At 42.9% G+C, this 19,801-nt stretch overlaps 1 protein-coding gene across 18 annotated transcripts in view, besides 4 other annotated features; it reads left to right on the top strand.

The window, feature by feature from the left end:
- ZNF343 (zinc finger protein 343) overlaps positions 1–19,801 on the top strand; it is a 43,183-nt gene that overhangs the window by 7,043 nt on the left and 16,339 nt on the right. For 10 of the 18 annotated variants that reach the window (NM_001282498.2, NM_001282496.2, NM_001321805.2 and 7 more), the window contains exons 1-2: positions 9,042–9,076; positions 17,215–17,301. The gene's annotated coding sequence lies outside the window, so the exon portion shown is untranslated. 18 annotated transcript variants of the gene reach the window in all.
- Positions 7,621–8,216: an enhancer, noted in NCBI's record as "OCT4-NANOG-H3K27ac hESC enhancer chr20:2490387-2490982 (GRCh37/hg19 assembly coordinates)". NCBI's record gives its function as "activates a minimal SCP1, AML or CMV promoter by ChIP-STARR-seq in primed H9 embryonic stem cells {active_cell/tissue: H9 hESC(primed)}" and the evidence as "EXISTENCE:reporter gene assay evidence [ECO:0000049][PMID:30033119]".
- Positions 8,758–9,067: an enhancer, noted in NCBI's record as "active region_17469". NCBI's record gives its function as "activates an Ori minimal core promoter by ATAC-STARR-seq in GM12878 lymphoblastoid cells {active_cell/tissue: GM12878}" and the evidence as "EXISTENCE:reporter gene assay evidence [ECO:0000049][PMID:35858748]".
- Positions 9,718–9,777: an enhancer, noted in NCBI's record as "active region_17468". NCBI's record gives its function as "activates an Ori minimal core promoter by ATAC-STARR-seq in GM12878 lymphoblastoid cells {active_cell/tissue: GM12878}" and the evidence as "EXISTENCE:reporter gene assay evidence [ECO:0000049][PMID:35858748]".
- Positions 16,494–17,693: an enhancer, noted in NCBI's record as "MED14-independent group 3 enhancer chr20:2480910-2482109 (GRCh37/hg19 assembly coordinates)". NCBI's record gives its function as "activates an origin of replication core promoter dependent on BRD2, BRD4, P300/CBP and CDK7 cofactors, and independent of MED14, by STARR-seq in HCT116 cells {active_cell/tissue: HCT116}" and the evidence as "EXISTENCE:reporter gene assay evidence [ECO:0000049][PMID:35650434]".

Here is a 19,801-nt window from a genome sequence, read left to right as displayed (position 1 = left end):
GTGATTTTGAGATGTCTTTCACATATAATGTTTCCATTTGTCTTAGCTCTAAGTACAGTTTTGATGACGGTGTGTTTCTCATCTTTTATTATTATTATTATTAAAGCTTACTTTCATGTCAATTTATTCTAATAAGCAATAACAAATTGAGGCCAAGGGCAACGGCTCACTCCTTTAATCCCAGCACTTTGGGAGGCTGAGGTGAGAGGATCACTTGAGGCCAGGAGTTCAAGACCAGCCTGGGTGACAGAGGGGGACCCCATCTCTACAAAAAAAAAAAATTAATAACTAGCCAGGCATGGTGGTGTGTGCCTGTAGTCCCAGTTACTTGGAAGGCTGAGGTGGGAGGACTGCTTGAGCCCAGGAGGTCGAGGCTGCAGTGAGCCATGATGATGCCACTGCACTCTAGCCTGGGTGACAGAGTGCAGAGTAAGACCCTATCTCAAAAAAGAAAAAAAAAAAAGACCAGAGGGAATTCTTCAGCAGGCTGCCCCTTTGGACTGGAACTGCACCATCGGCTCTCCTGGTATATGTATATGTGTGTATATATATACATATACATCAGCTATATATGTGTGTATATATATATACACACATATACATTGGCTGAATGTGTATATATGTGTGTGTATATTTGTATATATACCTGTGTGTGTGTATACATATACATATACAAATACATAAACACATACAAATTCTGTTGCTTCTATTTCTCTGGAGCACTCAGTCTCATTCAGGAAGAATGATAGATTCTGAGCTCGTTTGACATAAACAGCTTGGTTTCATTTAAATATGCTCTAATGCACAATGAAACATATCATTTGAAATATTCCCAAACCTGGACTTGAACCTTAGTTGGAAGCATGGTTTGCTGTTTTCAAGTATTCTGCTTACTTTCATATACATCTGATTGAATTCACCATAGTGAGTTACCTTAGATATGAATGTATGATTCTGACTTAAATTGACTAGGTTCATCCAGATTTGTTGTAAGTCACAAAAAGTAATGACCGTGACAGTGACACTAATCATGAAGGACATCCTCAATGTCAACTCACTCTCATCTTCTCCTTGACCCTGAACCTCACGCCCACCTTTACCCTAACACTTTCTGGCCTTGAGCCTGACCTTTATCCTCAACCTGACCCTCAATGTGATCATAACCCTTATCCCAACCCTTGCCTTAAACCTGACCTAAGCCTCATACACTGGACCTGAATTGCACTTGACTCTCTCTTTCTCAATCTCCCTTTCATCCTCAGCTAGACCTCACTCTCCCTCACTCTCACCTTCACCCTGACCCTCAGTTTCATCTTGACACTTGCCCTTGACGCTAAACCAGACCCTCATCATCACTGTTGTCCTGACCCTACCCTGCTCACTCATCCTCACTCTGAGTTTATTCCTCAGATGGACTCTTACTTTGACACTGACCTTGATCTCACTCTCATGCCCACGCTCACACTCACTGTGCACTTGCTCTCACTCTGACTTTAATCCTCACTGGGACCTACTCTGATCCTAAATCAAACACTAACCCTCACCCTCAGCCTGACATTAACAGTGACTCTGACCCTCACAGCATCACTCTGGCCCCACCTTTACCCTAAATCACAATCCCCTCCCTTTTTGAAGACAGGGTCTCGCTCCATTGCCCAGGCTGGCCTCTAATTGTTGGACTCAAGCAATCCTCAGCCTCCTGAGTAGTTGGGATTACAGGCATGCACCAGGACATTTGGCTTCTAAATCACATCCTTAACATCTCTGTGACCCCGACTCTCATCCTCACCTTGATTCCGACCTGAACCAAACACTCAGCCTGCTCTCTCCCAAACCCCAACCTTGATCATCACCCTAATTCTCAACCTCACCCTCACCCTAGCCCCCATTCTCACTTCATCACCTCAATCTGACCATCACTCTCACTTTCAATCTGGCCCTGACATTCACCCTCACATTCACCCCTTTCTGACTCTGACCTTGACCCTCAATCTCACTCTGAGTCTGACTCCCCTCCTCCTTTCACAGCCGCTGACCCTGACACTCATCCTTACTCCAATCCTCCTGATGATGCAGATACGGATCATCGCCCTGACTGTGTGACGCTCACTCTGGTACCATCACCTGAGCCTGTCTCTCACTCTCATGTTGAACCTCGAAGTCTAAGGTTGAAGTTCATGCCCAAGATCAAAGTCAAGGGTAAGGGTTAAGCAAAGACCCTCAACCATACATTTCTGTTAACTACAGCTTATTTCTTGTTCATATAACTAGTAAGAACTACTGACAAGTAGAGATAACAAGATAACCCATACTAACTAGGTAACTAGACATAATTAGAATAACTACAGTATGTAAAAGAGAAGCTCCAGGACATACATGTGTCTCAAGTTATCACTAGTTATCTATTTAGCAGTAGTAGTTCAAAAAAGAAGTTAGAGTTGGAGTACTTTTGAATGCTTTTGGAATATTTTTTGGAATATTTTTTAAGATTCTTTGGAGAACAATTCTGAGCTGATTTCACAAATCCTGCTGAGTCATTGTAATTCCTCCATATAACAATACATATTTTGAATGCTTCTGACTACATTTGTAAATTTATTAAGAACAATATGGGATTCTTAATGTGGTAATATATTGAGGCTAAAAAAGAAAAAAACCAATATGGGATTCAGAACTCATTTTCACAAATATCATAAATAGCTCTGACAAATAATAAGACGAAGGTGTCTTTATCACCTGGTTTGTTTAAAGTTTACATTAATATCAATGTATTCTAATCAGCAGTAAATCTAGTAAAATGTCTGAACTTGTGTTTACTAACACTGCAGTATTAGTCTTTTTTTCCTTTCTTTTTCTGATTTGGCTTCTTCTTCTCTTTCTTCTTCTTCCTTCTCCTTCCTTCCTTCTTCTCCTTCCTTCCTTCTTCTTTCTTCTTCTTCTTCTTTTTTTTTTTTGATACAATGTCTCGCTCTGTCACCCAGGCTGGAGTGCAGTGCAGTGGTGCAATCTCAGCTCACTTGGCTCACTGCAACCTCCGCCTCCTGAGTTCAAGCAATTCTCGTGCCTCAGCCTCTTGAGTAGCTGGGACTATGGGTGCATGCCACCAAATTTGGCTAAATTTTTGTATTAATATTCTTAGTAGAGATGGGGTTTCGCCATATTAGCCAGGCTGGTCTTCAACTCCTGGCTTCAAGTGATCTGCCTGCCTTGGCCTCCCAAAGTGCTGGAACTACAGACGTGAGCCACCATGCCTGGCCTGCTTTGGCTTCTAATTCATTAAACACACAGTATTAGTCTTACAAAAATTTTTTAAAAGATATATATAATATTGAGCTTTAAATTAGACTGCTTATTTTTACAAATACTGACTGGATTCATCTTACTTTGATTTGACTAGCAACGAGAAGGTTCTTTGAGAACATGTATGGCTATGGGCTCATTTACACAAATACTGCTTTGATTCACTATAATTGCTTATAACTCCCAATAAGAGAAATTCTAAGATCTTTGAAGTTTTGAGCATCTTAAGTACTTTTGAATCCTTTTGAAGATTCTTTTGAGAACACAGGCGATTCAAGCTCATTTTCATAAATGCTCCCTAGCTACATTTAATTTGGTCTTACTTACAGAAGAAAAGTGCAGTTGAGGCAAATGTGTGTTCTTTGGCTTTTAGCTCATATAAAGGTGATATTTATCTCAATTCATTCTAATAGAAGAAATTTCACATTTAAGCATTTTAACCATTTTAAGTTACACAGAGTCATTCAGTACATTCACAATATTGCCCAACCATCACCATTATCTAATTCCAGAACGTTTTCATTTTTTGTTGTTCTTTTTCTATTTATTTTCTCATTTTAAAACTTCTTTTTCCTTTTATGTGATTCTCCAATTAAGACATCCCGTTATGGCAATTCCAGAATATTTTCATCGCCCCAAAAGGGAATCCTGTGCCCATTAAGTGGTCATTTTGCATTTCACCTTTCCACTAGACCCTGCTACTAATCTACTTTCTGTCTCCATGGATCTGCCTATTCCGGACATATAAATTCATTTAAGTGGAATGATACAGTGTATGGTCTTTTGTGTCTGGTTTCTTTCACTTAGCATAATGTTTTCAAGGTTCATCCATGTTATACCATATATCAATACTTTTATGGCTGAATACTATTTGATTGTATGGATTTATCATATTTTGCTTATCTGTTCACCAACTGATGAACATTCGGATTGTTTCCACCTTTCAGCTATTCTGAATAGTGCTGATGTAAACATTCTATAAAAGTTTTTGTTTGAACACCTGTTTTCAATTCTTTGGGGCATATAGCTTGGAGTAGAAATGCTGGGTCAAATGCTAATTCTATGTTTAACTTATTAAGGAACCACCAAACGGATTTCCCCAACAGATAGAACACTTTACATTCTTACCAGCAATGTACAGTATAAGGGTTCTAATTTCTCCACAACTTTGCCAACAGTTGTTATTTTCCATTAAAAAAGTATTTTTATCATAGCCATTCTAGTGGGTGTGAAGTGGTATTTTATTATGGTTTTAGTTTGTGTTTCTCTAATTATTAGTGACAGTAAGCATTTTTTTGGTGTGTTCTTGCTGGCTGTTTTGTATGCAGTTATTTCTTCAAAATGTTTATTTGAGTCCTTTGCTCATTTTAAAATTGGGTTGTTAGTCTTTTTGTTATTGAGTCATAGAAATCTTAATATATTCTGGACATTAGACCATTATCAGATATATGATTTGCAAATATTTTCTCTCATTCTTATGGGTTGCCTTGTCACTCTTCCAGTAGTGTCCTTTGGCGCACAAAGTTTTAAATTTTGATAAATTCCAATTTCTTTTTTGAGACAGGGTCTCACTCTGTCATCCAGGCTGGAGTGCAGTGGTACAATCATGGCTCACTGCAGCTTGGAACTCCCAGGCTCAAGCTATCCTCCCAGCTCAGCCTCCCAAGTAGCTGGGACTACAGATGCCTGCCACCACACCCAGCTATTTTTGAGGGGATTTTTTTTTTTTTTTTTTTTGGTAGAGAAATGGTCTATGTTGCCTAGTCTGGTCTTGACCTCCTGAGCTCAAATGATCCTCCTGCCTTGGCCTCCCAAAGTGCTGGGATTACAGGGGTGAGCCACTGCGACTGGCCCAATTTATTTTTCCATTTGTTGCTTCTGCTTTTGGTGTCACATCTAAGAAACAATTTTTCAGATGCAAGGTAATGAAAATTAACCCTTATGCTTTCTTCTAAGAGTTTTAGCTTTTATATTTAGATCTTTATAGTCTTTGAGTTAATTTTTGTATACAGTGGGAGGTAGAGGTCCAACTTCATTCTTTTACTTGTGGTTATCCAGTTGTTCCAGCATGATTTATTGAAAAGGCTATTCTTTCCCCATTAAATGGTCTCGGCATCCTTGTTGAAAAGCAATTGACCATTTCTCTACAGTTTCATTTCTGGACTTTCAATCCTATCCATTGGTCTATGTCTACCCTTATGGCAGTACCACACTGTTTTAATTACTGAAGCTTTGTATTAAGTTTTAAAATTAAGAAGAGTGAGTCCTCCAACCTTATTCTTTTTCAAAATTGTTTTGGCTACTCTGGGTCCCTTAAAATTCCATACGAACTTTAGGATCAACTTTTCCATTTCTGCAAAAAGGCCATTGGAATTTTGACAAGGATAGCATTGCATCTGTAGATTGCTTTGAGGAATAATGCCATTTTAACAATATTAAGCCTTCCAACCCATGAACGGAGTATGTAATTTCATTTATTTGGAGCTTACACAATTTCTTTCAGCAATGATTTGTAATTTTCAGTGTACAAATCTTGTGCCTTCCTGGTTAAAGTTATTCCTAAATATGTTATTCTTTTTGATGCTATTGCAAATGGAACTATTTTCTTATTTTCAAATCGTTTGTTAGTTATAGAAATGTAGTGTTTACTATATACAAGATCACATCATCTGTGAATAGAGATAGTTTTACTTCTTCCTTTCCCATTTGGATGGCTTTTCTTTTTCTTGTCTAATTGCTATAAATAGACCTTCCAGTACAATGTTGAATAGAAGTGGCAAAAGTAAGCATCCTTGTCTTGTCACTGACCTTAGGGGAAGAGTTTTCAGTTTTCACCATTGAGTATGATGTTAGCTGTGGGTCTGTCATAATTGCATCCCATGCTGTGAATGTAGGCTTTGAGACTGCTGAAGAGCCAGGGAGGAAAGCAGGGCGAGGGGCAAGTAAAACATTGCAAAATTTTCCTAATTTTCTCTTTTATGAATAGACTTCATTTTTAGATGAATTTTATGTCCATAGCAAAATTAAACAGAAGGGACAGAGATTTCCCATTGATGTCACCTCTGTCCTTGTATTTTTAATTCAACTGTTCCATAGATTTTATTCACGTGATGAATAACAGTCACATGGAGCACAGAGGGATGCTGAGGGAGGGCTCCAGATCAAGGGCTGGATTTGAAACTGTCCCAATTGTCCCACAGAATTGATGTTTATGGTTTCTTTGAATAAACAGAAATTGGTCCTTCCAGGCCAGGTGCGGTGGCTCATGCCTGTAATTCCAGCACTTTGGGAAGCTGAGGTGGGAGAATCACCTGAGCCTAGGAGTTTAAGATCAGCCTGGGCAACATGGTGAAACCCCATCTCTACAAAAAATTAAAAAATATTGCCAGGTGTGGTGGCATGTGCCTGTAGTCCCAACTACTCGGGGCTGAGGTGGAAGACTCACTTGAGCCCAGGAGGTTGAGGCTACATGAGCGGTGATCATGCCACCGCACTCTAGCCTGAATGACAGAGCAAGTCCCTGTCCAAAAAAAAAAAAAGAAAGGAAAAGGAAAGAAAAGAAATGGATTCCCCCAGTCTTAAAACTTGAGAAGGTCACATTTGTCCTGAGTTCCTTTCTCAGGAAAACCAAACATCAGGCCTCCCAGATAGTATCAAGGAGCTGCAACTTACCAAATCATTGCATGTGGACAATGAGAACCCACACTCCTCATCAGTCATATTGCCTAACCAATCACCTCCTTCCTGTTCCAACTTACCTCTCCCTAATTTCTGTTTTCCCACACATAGTTACATTTCTTCCCTGCTATACAAACCCCTGATTTTGGTCAGTCAGGGAGATGGATGTGAGACTGATCTCCCATCTTCTTGGCTGCAGCACTCAATTAAGGCCTTCTTCCCTTGCAATACTCGTCTCAGTGATTGGTTTTCTGACTGGCAACCAGCAGGACCTAGACCCAACCCCTGGTGTTTCAGTAACAGATTCTGCCCAGTACTAACACGGCAGCCTCCAAGACAAGAGAAGGGAATTGGTCCTTTCTGTGAAAGGCAGGACAGAATATCAAGAAATGTTTGTCTGTCTCCTGGCTCACAACGGCCTTGGGGCCATGTTCTCTATCTCCTGAGTACTGGAGAACAGAGAAGCCTCAGAAGGCTGATATTGGGAAGGTGAAAAGAAATAAGAAGATGGAAGGAGGTGTTGGAGAAAATAAAAACAAAATCTCCTGCTAACCCAGAAAATCCCCTTCACAAACGTAGAAAAGAAGGAGAACAGTTTTATTACCAAATAATATTGAACTGGACTGGGAAGCACATTGTAGACAATCTGCTAATCAGATGCCAGACAGAAAGAGATCTTACTTTTTATCTAGTTGGGCAGATACAATCTATTACAAACATGTCCTCAAAATTAATGGTAATTTGCCCCCTTGTAAGAGGATTTGACATTGTTTGCTATACAATTTTTCATAATTCATTCTAAATTCACCTGGTAATTGGAGTAGCCATCTACACTAGTTAATTGCCTTTATCAAAAAGAAAAAATAAAACTTTTATCTGTGACAAGCGGGCAGTTACGAGTTTGGAGCTAGGCACCTAAGCTAAACTCCCAAGGTGACAGGGAGATAAGGGCACTATCTTCTTCACTGTTTACATTTCAAAGAGATGGCTCATCAGGCCTTTGGGGGAAACATTCCTCTTTTGTAAAGTTGGCAGGTGCTTATTCAGCCTTTCAAAAGTATCAGGTACATATCAAAGGAGCACTTATACATAGATTTCTCATGGAAATACTCCAAGGGCGTGAGGTCAGGTTTATTTCCCCTTCAGTAACAAGTAAAATTTAATTCAATTTGTATTTGCCATTAAGATTTAAACGCGCCTCCTATGAGCTGAAGGTCTGATCTGCAAACCCCTAATTGCCGTGTTGCAGAAGGTACCAGCGTAGCCCAGTTTTAAAAATATTATTAGTTTTAAAATATATACATTTAACTCCTGGGCTCAAGCCATCCTCCAGCCTCAGCCTCAGCCTCCCTCGGGGTTACAGGAATCCCAGGCGCGCGCCACCACGCCCGGCTCTAGTAGCCCAGATCTGAACCGGGATCTTAGATAAGAGGCCAGAGAGCCAGACTCCAGCCTGAGTGAAGCTTCCACCCTCCAGAAACTGGATGAGAGTCTGTCCCTAACTTTGAGGACTTCGACAAGAAAGGTGACTACAGGCCACCCACAGGAGTGCACTGGTGTTGAGGGTAAGGGTTCAACTGAGACGCTGGGAGGCGGCTTTGCCCTGCCTGTGTGTCACAGGCAACACGAAGTCGAATCTACATAGTGCTCACGCAAGGTAGTTCGCGTGCTATGGAGCCTCAGCCCAGGGAATTCAGGTGGTCCGGTGCAGTAAACTCTGTACCCAACACACGCCTGACAGACAGCGCATTGCTCCCGCTAGATTCGCCAATCGGAAATGACTTCTCTCGTTGACCCCAGCTTCCGGAAGCGCCTGCGGAAGCTGCCGCAGAGGCTTGTGGGGAGTGTAGTCTTTTTTTTGCAGAATGGGCCAAGGGGACAGAGACTTCACTCGGGAGCCAGAACCTGTTTTCAACATGGGTATTTTAAGAAGAGACGGAGAGGCTGTCACTGCAGTGGTCACTGTCCTGGAAAAGTAACCGTTGCACGGCCCAGAAGTGGCTCTGTGGCGGCCAATGGGAGCCGAAGCCTGCGAGGATGTTGGGAATTGTAGTTCTGGCGTCGGTCGGTGGCCGAGATCCCGGGCACGCTGGCTCTGGTGAGCGCGGCCTCCGCGGCTCCTTGGCCCCAGGATGCCCTCTCTCGTGGGGAAAGGAGGGTCGGGAAAGGCCGAGCGTAGGTTAGGACGCGGGGTAGAGTGTGGCCAATGGGGAGTGCGGGTTGGAGATATTTGGTTTTTGGAGGAGAGGGCGCAGCTCGCGGTGCTCATTGGGGCGAGGCGATGGGGTGAGCCCCTGCTTGCCCGGACCTCCGCGGACCTTTTTTCCCCCCGGGGGGACGAGAGTGACCTAGAACTCTAATGCCTGTCTTGAACCAGGCGGGATTATTCTGGGTCAACCAGTTTTCGAATACGGAGGGCGGCCCCAGTCGTGCGTCCTGGGGTTTATTTGGGCTGTGGGGTTGAGTTCTGCCAGGGCCAAATGGACCAACATCCCCGCGGCTGGGGTGGGGACGTGGCTAGGTCCGCACATCCCTGGGTGGTTTTTGGCTGGGGAGCGTCTTGAGTCCTGCATCACCGAGTTTTTCTGTTTTTTGGGTGGGGCTGGATATGTCCCGAGTGGTGACCGGGGTGGTTAGGGGGAGGCCGTCTCAGGCCTTGATGCTTGATGGACCTTGGTTTATTAGGGGTTGGGGGGTTGGAAGTGGAGGTGAGCTTGACGTGGTCAAAATATCCTGAGAGGGCCTGGGCGAGTGTCTTGGGTCAGGAGTCCCTGGGGTTTTTAGGGAGGTGAGGGAGGTTTCGTCCTCTGATAGTGGTGGGCTGTATCACTCTGACAGGCATCTAGGCAGCTCTTTTGAATGGGGGCAGGTCTTTTCTCTGGGACCTGTTGTCTCAAGGTGTGTCATGTGGGAGGTGCCCCCTGTGCTTTGTGGCAAAGTTCCTGGGTTTGGTCGTCATCTGGGTGGCCCGTCTGGCTGACTCCTTTCCTGGACTGCTTTTCCCTCACATGTTAGGGCCAAACATCTGGTTTGGGGCTGTGAAGGGTTAGGTCTGGTGGGGAACTCTGACGGCTTCTAGTTAACAATCCAAATCACTTCCGGCATATGGTGAGTTCTGGATATCAGGCGTTTAATTTTATTTTTAATTTTTTCGTAGGGACAAATTTTAAACCTACCTAGTAGAGCTATTCAGTGAACTGCCACGGACCTGTCACCAGATTCCACATTTGTTAACTCATGGCCAATTTTGTTTCATCTACATCCCCTCAACCCTATGTGTGGATACACTTTGAGAATTGTCAGACCCCACAGGGATTGGCCATTGCTGACATCATTACTGGCCCAGCTGGCTAAGCGTGTGGCGCTCCACAGCTAGACTTCAAATCTAGGCACTTTCTAGCATTGTCAATTTGAGGAAGGTGTAGAACTCATGGAGCTTTGGGGAGGTAAAACTTGCATGGTGTCTGGAATTGCCTCTGGTATACAGTAAGAGTTTAGTAAGTGTTAACTATTACTAATAGTATTATAATTTGAGGCCCATAGGCATTAAAGGGATAAATATGTAATAGCAGCTTGTCAGGGCAGACTGTATTCTGATGTCCCCACATGGTTCTGTCCCCTAGAAGCTGTTTACATTATTCTCTTCTCTGACAGATCTGAGGCTTATTTTGTTAAAGGAAAAGGAGGCCTGCTCTTTTTTTTTTTTTTTTTTTTGAGACACAGTTTCACTCTTGTTGCCCAGGCTGGAGTGCAGTGGCGCGATCTCGGCTCACCGCAACCTCCACCTCCCGGGTTCAAGCGATTCTTCTGTCTCAGCATCCCGAGTAGCTGGGATTACAGGTGTGCGCCACCATGCCCAGCTAATTTTGTATTTTTAGTAGACACGGGGTTTCTCCATGTTGGTCAGGCTGGTCTCGAACTCCTGACCTCAGGTGATCTGCCTGCCCCGGGCCTCCCAAAGTGCTGGGATTACAGGCATGAGCCACCGCTCCCGGCTGGCCCACTCATTTTATTTTTTTATCTTTTTTTTTTTATTATACTTTAAGTTCTAGGGTACATGTGCGCAACGTGCAGGTTAGTTACGTATGTATACATGTTCCATGTTGGTGTGCTGCACCCAGTAACTCATCATTTAACATTAGGTATATCTCCAAATGCTATCCCTCCCCGCTCCCCTCACCCCACAACAGGCCCCGGGGTGTGATGTTCCCCTTCCTGTGTCCATGTGTTCTCATTGTTCAATTCCCACCTATGAGTGAGAACATGTGGTGTTTGGTTTTTTGTCCTTGTGATAGTTTGCTGAGAATGATATTTTCCAGCTTCATCCATGTCCCTACAAAGGACATGAACTCATCATTTTTTATGGCTGCATAGTATTCCGTGGTGTACATGTGCCACATTTTCTTAATCCAGTCTATCATTGTTGGACATTTGGGTTGGTTCCAAGTCTTTGCTATTGTGAATAGTGCCGCAATAAACATACGTGTGCATGTGTCTTTATAGCAGCATGATTTATAATCCTTTGGGTATATACCCAGTAATGGGATGGCTGGGTCAAATGGTATTTCTAGTTCTAGATCCCTGAGGAATCGCCACACTGACTTCTACAATGGTTGAACTAGTTTACAGTCCCACCAACAGTGTAAAAGTGTTCCTATTTCTCCACATCCTCTCCAGCACCTGTTGTTTCCTGACTTTTTAATGATCGCCATTCTAACTGGTGTGAGATGGTATCTCATTGTCGTTTTGATTTGCATTTCTCTGATGGCCAGTGATGATGGGCATTTTTTCCTGTGTCTTTTGGCTGCATAAATGTCTTCTTTTGAGAAGTGTCTGTTCATATCCTTCACCCACTTGCTGATGGGGTTGTTTGTTTTTTTCTTGTAAATTTGTTGGAGTTCATTGTAGATTCTGGATATTAGCCCTTTGTCAGATGAGTAGATTGGAAAAATTTTCTCCCATTCTGTATAGGTTGCCTGTTCACTCTGATGGTAGTTTCTTTTGCTGTGCAAAAGCTCTTTAGTTTAATTAGATCCCGTTTGTCAATTTTGGCTTTTGTTGCCATTGCTTTTGGTGTTTTAGACATGAAGTCCTTGCCCATGCCTATGTCCTGAATGGTATTGTCTAGTTTTTCTTCTAGGGTTTTTATGGTTTTAGGTCTAACATTTAAGTCTTTAATCCATCTTGAATTAATTTTTGTATAAGGTGTAAGGAAGGGATCCAGTTTCAGCTTTCTACATATGGCTAGCCAGTTTTCCCAGCACCATTTATTAAATAGGGAATCCTTTCCCCATTTCTTGTTTTTGTCAGGTTTGTCAAAGATCAGATGGTTGTAGATATGCGGCATTATTTCTGAGGGCTCTGTTTTGTTCCATTGATCTATATCTCTGTTTTGGTACCAGTACCATGCTGTTTTGGTTACTGTAGCCTCGTAGTATAGTTTGAAGTCAGGTAGCGTGATGCCTCCAGCTTTGTTCTTTTTGCTTAGGATTGACTTAGGGCTGTTTTTTGGTTCCATATGAACTTTGAAGTAGTTTTTTCCAATTCAGTGAAGAATGTCATTGGTAGCTTGATGGGGATGGCACTGAATCTATAAATTACCTTGGGCAGTATGGCCATTTTCACAATATTGATTCTTCCTACCCATGAGCATGGAATGTTCTTCCATTTGTTTGTATCCTCTTTCATTGAGCAGTGGTTTGTAGTTCTCCTTGAAGAGGTCCTTCACGTCCCTTGTAAGTTGGATTCCTAGGTATTTTATTCTCTTTGAAGCAATTGTGAATGGGAGTTCACTCATGATTTGGCGCTCTGTTTGTCTGTTATTGGTGTATAAGAATGCTTGTGATTGTTGCACATTGATTTTGTATCCTGAGACTTTGCTGAAGTTGCCTATCAGCTTAAGGAGATTTTGGGCTGAGACAATGGGCTTTTCTAGATATACAAGCTTGTCGTCTGCAAACAGGGACAATTTGACTTCCTCTTTTCCTAACTGAATACCCTTTATTTCCTTCTCCTGCCTGATTGCCCTGTCCAGAACTTCCAACAATTATGTTGAATAGGAGTGGTGAGAGAGGGCATCCCTGTCTTGTGCCAGTTTTCAAAGGGAATGCTTCCAGTTTTTGCCCATTCAGTATGATATTGGCTGTGGGTTTGTCATTGATAGCTCTTATTATTTTGAGATATGTCCCATCAATACCTCATTTATTGAGAGTTTTTAGCATGAAGGGTTGTTGAATTTTGTCAAAGGCCTTTTCTGAATCTATTGAGATAATCATATGGTTTTTGTCGTTGGTTCTGTTTATATGCTGGATTATGTTTATTGATTTGCATATGTTGAACCAGCCTTGCATCCCAGGGATGAAGACCACTTGATCATGGTGGATAAGCTTTTTGATGTGCCGCTGGATTTGGTTTGCCAATATTTTATTGAGGATTTTTGCATCGATGTTCATCAGGGATATTGGGTCTAAAATTTTATGTTGTTGTTGTGTCTCTGCCAGGCTTTGGTATCAGGATGATGCTGGCCTCATAAAATGAGTTAGGGAGGATTCCTTCTTTTTCTATTGCTTGGAATAGTTTCAGAAGGAATGGTACCAGCTCCTCCTTGCACCTCAGGTAGAATTCGGCTGTGAATCCATCTGGTCTTGGACTTTTTTTGGTTGGTAAGCTATTAATTATTGCCTCAATTTCAGAGTCTATTCAGAGATTCAACTTCTTCCTGGTTTAGTCTTGGGAGGGTGTATGTGTCCAGGAATTTATCCATTTCTTCTAGATTTTCTAGTTTATTTGCGTAGAGGTGTTTATAGTATTCTCTGACGGTAGTTTGTATTTCTATGGGATCAGTGGTGATATCCCCTTTATCATTTTTTATTGCGTCTATTTGATTCTTCTCTCTTTTCTTCTTTATTAGTCTTGCTAGCGGTCTATCAATTTTGTTGATCTTTTCAAAAAACCAGCTCCTGGATTCACTGATTTTTTTGAAGGTTTTTTTGTGTCTCTATTTCCGTCAGTTCTGCTCTGATCTTAGTTATTTCTTGCCTTCTGCTAGCTTTTGAATGTGTTTGCTCTTGCTTCTCTAGTTCTTTTAATTGTGATGTTAGGGTGTCAGTTTTAGATTTTTCCTGCTTTCTCTTGTGGGCATTTAGTGCTATAAATTTCCCTCTACACACTGCTTTGAATGTGTCACAGAGATTCTGTTATGTTGTGTCTTTGTTCTCGTTGGTTTCAAAGAACATCTTTATTTCTGCCTTCATTTCATTATGTACCCAGTAGTCACTCAGGAGCAGGTTGTTCAGTTTCCATGTAGTTGAGCGGTTTTGAGTGAGTTTCTTAATCCTGAGTTCTAGTTTGATTGCACTGTGGTCTGAGAGACAGTTTGTTATAATTTCTGTTCTTTTACATTTGCTGAGGAGTGCTTTACTTCCAACTATGTGGTCAATTTTGGAATAAGTGCGGTGTGGTGCTGAGAAGAATGTATATTCTGTTGATTTGGGGTAGAGAGTTCTGTAGATGTCTATTAGGTCTGCTTGGTGCAGAGCTGAGTTCAATTCCTGGATATCCTTGTTAACTTTCTGTCTTGTTGATCTGTCTAATATTGATAGTGGGGTGTTAAAGTCTCCCATTATTATTGTGTGGGAGTCTAAGTCTCTTTCTAGGTCTCTAAGGACTTGCTTTATGAATCTGGGTACTCCTGTGTTGGGTGCATATATATTTAGGATAGTTAGCTCTTTTTGTTGAATTGATCCATTTACCATTATGTAATGGTCTTGTCTCTTTTGATCTTTGTTGGTTTAAAGTCTGTTTTATCAGAGACTAGGATTGCAACACCTATCTTTTTTTGTTTTCCATTTGCTTGGTAGATCTTCCTCCATCCATTTATTTTGAGCCTATGTATGTCACTACATGTGAGATAGGTTTCCTGAATACAGCACACTGATGGGTCTTGACTCTTTATCCAGTTTGCCAGTCTGTGTCTTTTAATTGGAGCATTTAGCCCATTTACATTTAAGGTTAATATGGTTATGTGTTAATTTGATCCTGTCATTATGATGTTAGCTGGTTATTTTGCTCGTTAGTTGATGCAGTTTCTTCCTAGCCTCAATGGTCTTTACAATTTGGCATGTTTTTGAGGTGGCTGGTACCGGTTGTTCCTTTCCATGTTTAGTGCTTCCTTCAGGAGGTCTTTTAGGGCAGGCCTGGTGGTGACCAAATCTCTCAGCATTTGCTTGTCTGTAAATTATTTTATTTCTCCTTCACTTACGAAGCTTAGTTTGGCTGGATATGAAATTCTGGGTTGAAAATTCTTTTCTTTAAGAATGTTGAATATTGGCCCCCACTCTCTTCTGGCTTGTAGAGTTTCTGCCGAGAGATCAGCTGTTAGTCTGATGGGCTTCCCTTTGTGGGTAACCCGACCTTTCTCTCTGGCTGCCCTTAACATTTTTTCCTTCATTTCAACTTTGGTGAATCTGACAATTATGTGTCTTGGAGTTGCTCTTCTCGAGGAGTATCTTTGTGGCGTTCTCTGTATTTCCTGAATTTCAGTGTTGGCCTGCCTTGCTAGGTTGGGGAAGTTCTCCTGGATAATATCCTGCAGAGTGTTTTCCAACTTGGTTCCATTCTCCCCATCACTTTCAGATACACCAATCAGACGTAGATTTGGTCTTTTCACATAGTCCCATATTTCTTGGAGGCTTTGTTTGTTTCTTTTTATTCTTTTTTCTCTAACTTCTCTTCTTGCTTCATTTCATTCATTTGATCTTCCATCACTGATACCCTTTCTTCCAGTTGATCAAGTCGGCTACTGAGGCTTGTGCATTCGTCACGTAGTTCTCGTGCCATGGTTTTCAGCTCCATCAGGTCTTTTAAGGACTTCTCTGCATTGGTTATTCTAGTTAGGCATTCGTCTAATTTTTTTTCAAGGTTTTTAACTTCTTTGCCATGGGTTCGAACTTCCTCCTTTAGCTCAGAGTAGTTTGATCGTCTGAAGCCTTCTTCTCTCAACTTGTCAAAGTCATTCTCCATCCAGCTTTGTTCCGTTGCTAGTGAGGAGCTGCATTCCTTTGGAGGAGGAGAGGCACTCTGATTTTTAAGAGTTTCCAGTTTTTCTGCTCTGTTTTTTCCCCATCTTTGTGGTTTTATGTACCTTTGGTCTTTGATGATAGTGACATACAGATGGGGTTTTGGTGTGGATGTCCTTTCTGTTTGTTAGTTTTCTTTCTAACAGTCAGGACCTTCAGCTGCAGATCTGTTGGAGTTTGCTGGAGGTCCACTCCAAACCCTGTTTGACTGGGTATCAGCAGCGGAGGCTGCAGAACAGTGGATATTGGTGAACAGCAAATGTTGCTGCCTGATCGTTCCTCTGGAAGTTTTGTCTCAGAGGAGTACCCGTCCATGTGAGGTGTCAGTCTGCCCCTACTGGGGGGTGCCTCCCAGTTAGGCTACTCAGGGGTCAGGGACCCACCTGAGGAGGCAGTCTGTCCATTCTCAGATCTCCAGCTGCGTGCTGGGAGAACCAATACTCTCTTCAAAGCTGTCAGACAGGGACATTTAAGTCTGCAGAGGATTCTGCTGCCTTTTGTTTGGCAATGCCCTGCCCCCAGAGGTGGAGTCTACAGAGGCAGGCAGGCAGGCCTCCTTGAGCTGCAGTGGGCTTCACCCAGTTCGAGCTTCCTGGACGCTTTGTTTACCTACTCAAGCCTCAGCAATGGTGGGTGCCCCTCCCCCAGCCTCGCTGCCGCCTTGCAGTTTGATCTCAGACTGCTGTGCTAGCAATGAGCGAGGGTCCATGGGCGTAGGACCCACTGAGCCAGGCGCGGGATATAATCTCTTGGTGTGCCGTTTGCTAAGACCATTGGAAAAGCGCAGTATTAGGGTGGGAGTGACCCAATTTTCCAGGTGCCCTCTCTCACCCCTTTCTTTGACTAGGAAAGGAATTCCCTGACCCCTTGCACTTCCCGGGTGAGGCAGTGCCTCACCCTGCTTCGGCTAACACTCGGTGCTCTGCACCCACTGTCCTGCACCCACTTTCTGACACTCCCCAGTGAGATAAACCCGGTACCTCAGTTGGAAATGCAGAAAACACCTGTCTTCCGCGTCGCTCGCGCTCGGAGCTGTAGACTGGAGCTGTTCCTATTCGGCCATCTTGGCTCGTCTCATTTTAAACTTGGGGATTTCTAGCCTCCATATCTGGGTGGTAGGAGACAATCCTGAATCTCACACTGCCTGTTTCATCCTCAGGTCCACCTTCTCCAATCCCTGCCTGCTGGGAGAGGACGATCTCTTGAGAAAGGAAAGACTTCTGTGCTCCCGAGAACTTCCTATCAGGTAGGTACCACTTACCTTTCACATTCCCATAGCGTCTTTTCTGCTCGAAACCATGGCTGTATTTCCTTTGCCCGTCTGACATCTTGTACCCTGAAGTGTTCCAATTGAGGCTCAAGGCCTTGCTTGTTTTTCTACAATACTGGGGTGATTTTAAGGGCAAGGATCTCCACAGGGAATATTACCCCAGACTGGTACTCTCATTCAGGTTATCACCGTCCTTGCCCCAGCCATATTTCATCTTGGCTGCTGGATTCCCAGGGATTTGTCAGCTACTGTGAAATAAAAAATGATGGTAATTAGCATTTATTGGGCCATTGTTCTGTGCCAGGCAACTGGGTTTATAGTCTCCACAATATTTTAAACTCTCAACAATTTGAAAGTTAGGAATCAAAACTCTGAATTGATAGAAGAAGAAGTGGCATGTTAAGAGGTTAAGAAATTTACTTGTGTAATATGACCGGGTTGGGTAGAATTAGGATTTAGAGCTTCCTCAGTTATCAACATTCTATAATCCCTGTTTCATTGAGCCCCCCACCTCCTCATTTTCTTGTTTTTGCTGCTGGAGTATTTGGAAGGAAATCCCAGACATCACATAATTTTACCTATAAATACTATCCTATGCATTTCCAACAGAGAAGGACTATTTGTTAAAAATGTAACCATAATATTACCACATTCAACAAAATCGACAGTAATTCCTTAATGTCTTAACTCTAGATTGTTTTAAAATCTGCCCATTTCTTCTACAAAATTGCTATTGCTTAGTTCAAACTGTACACACTTAACAATTCAGGTAAGAACTATAAGAGGGAGAAGTATCTGGAATTCAGCAAGGCCAATTCTCCCACTCCCTTTTCTCTTTACCTGTTGATGATTTCTGTTAATGACCGTGTCTCCATCCCTGGTCACCAGCCGGAGCTCTGAGTCTTTCTTGCCTCCTTGTTCTTCCTGAAATTCTCATCCTTCTAATTAGTGATGGAGTCCTCTCAATTCTACCTTGGAATACCCCTTTATTATTTTCCCCTCATCTCACTGTTGTGCTACCCAAATTTTCATCTTTTCTCCACATTCTAGTTCACCTTCCACCCTGCCTTTTAAGTTGCTCCTCTGAAGGAAAAATAAGGATCATGCCACTCACCTACTCAAGAGGGCCATTTCTTTTTCTTTTTTTTTTTTTTTTTTTTTTTTTTTGAGACGGAGTCTCGCTCTGTCGCCCAGGCTGGAGTGCAGTGGCGGGATCTCGGCTCACTGCAAGCTCCGCCTCCCAGGTTCACGCCATTCTCCTGCCTCAGCCTCCCAAGTAGCTGGGACTACAGGTGCCCGCCACTACGCCCGGCTAATTTTTTGTATTTTTAGTAGAGACGGGGTTTCACCGTTTTAGCCGGGATGGTCTCGATCTCCTGACCTCGTGATCCGCCCACCTCGGCCTCCCAAAGTGCTGGGATTACAGGCGTGAGCCACCGCGCCCGGAAGAGGGCCATTTCTTATTACCTACCTCCAACTCTGTCCAAACTCAATAATTAGAGTGTGAGGCCACATGCGGTGGCTCACGCCTGTAATCCCAGCACTTTGGGAGGCTGAAGTGATGGATCACTTGAACTCAGCCTGGACAACATGACAAAACCCCGTCTCTACTAAAAATAGAAAAATTATCTGGGCGTGGTGCTGCACACCTGTGGTCCCAGCTACTCAGGAGGCTGAGATGGGAGGATGGCTTGAGCCTGGAAAGTGGAGGTTGCAGTAAGCTGAGATCACACCACTGCGCTTCAGCCTGGGTGTGGGCTCTGGAGACAGATTGCCTAGATTCAAAGCCTGTCTTCACCGCACATTAGCTGTGTAACCCTGGAGACATTATTTCACTCTCTGTGCTTTCTACTCCTCATCTGTATAATGGAGAAAATAATAGTGCCCATCTCAGGGAGTTGTGAGGAAGAAATGTGGTAATTCCTATACGGCCTGGCAGATAATTCCTATAAGGTAGTGCCTGGCACATAATATATGCTTACTAAATATGGACTGGGATTGTTAATATTGATATCTGATGAATATCTGAATTATCTCTCAGCTCACCTTTTCAGTCTTGTCCCTACCACTTACTCCCTTTGTTGTAGTGCCCTTGTAGCTGTGTGGGAATAGATTCCATTCTGTGCTGTTTTATTCCTCTGTGGTTTTCTACTTGGCAATTGAACTCCTATTGATTTAGTCACACATTTACTCCATTGCAAAGCATGCCTTGATTTTCTCAGGGAAAGTTGCCCTCAGCCTCTTCTTCAGCACCAAAGCACTTTTTATTTTTTTGGAGACGGAGTTTTGCTCTTTTTGCGCAGGCTGGAGTGCAATGGCACTATCTCGGCTCACCGCAACCTCCGTCTCCTGGGTTCAAGTGATTCTCCTTTCTCAGCCTCCCAAGTAGCTGGGATTATAGGCATGCGCCACCACGCCCGGCTAATTTTGTATTTTTAGAGGAGACAGGGCTTCTCCGTGTTGGTCAGGCTGGTCT

The sequence above is a fragment of the Homo sapiens genome, chromosome 20 (genome assembly GCF_000001405.40).
Source record: "Homo sapiens chromosome 20, GRCh38.p14 Primary Assembly".
NCBI classification, from domain to species: Eukaryota; Metazoa; Chordata; class Mammalia; order Primates; family Hominidae; genus Homo; species Homo sapiens.
Note: the sequence above shows the minus strand (reverse complement) of the source record. Positions and strands in the feature narration are given on the sequence as shown.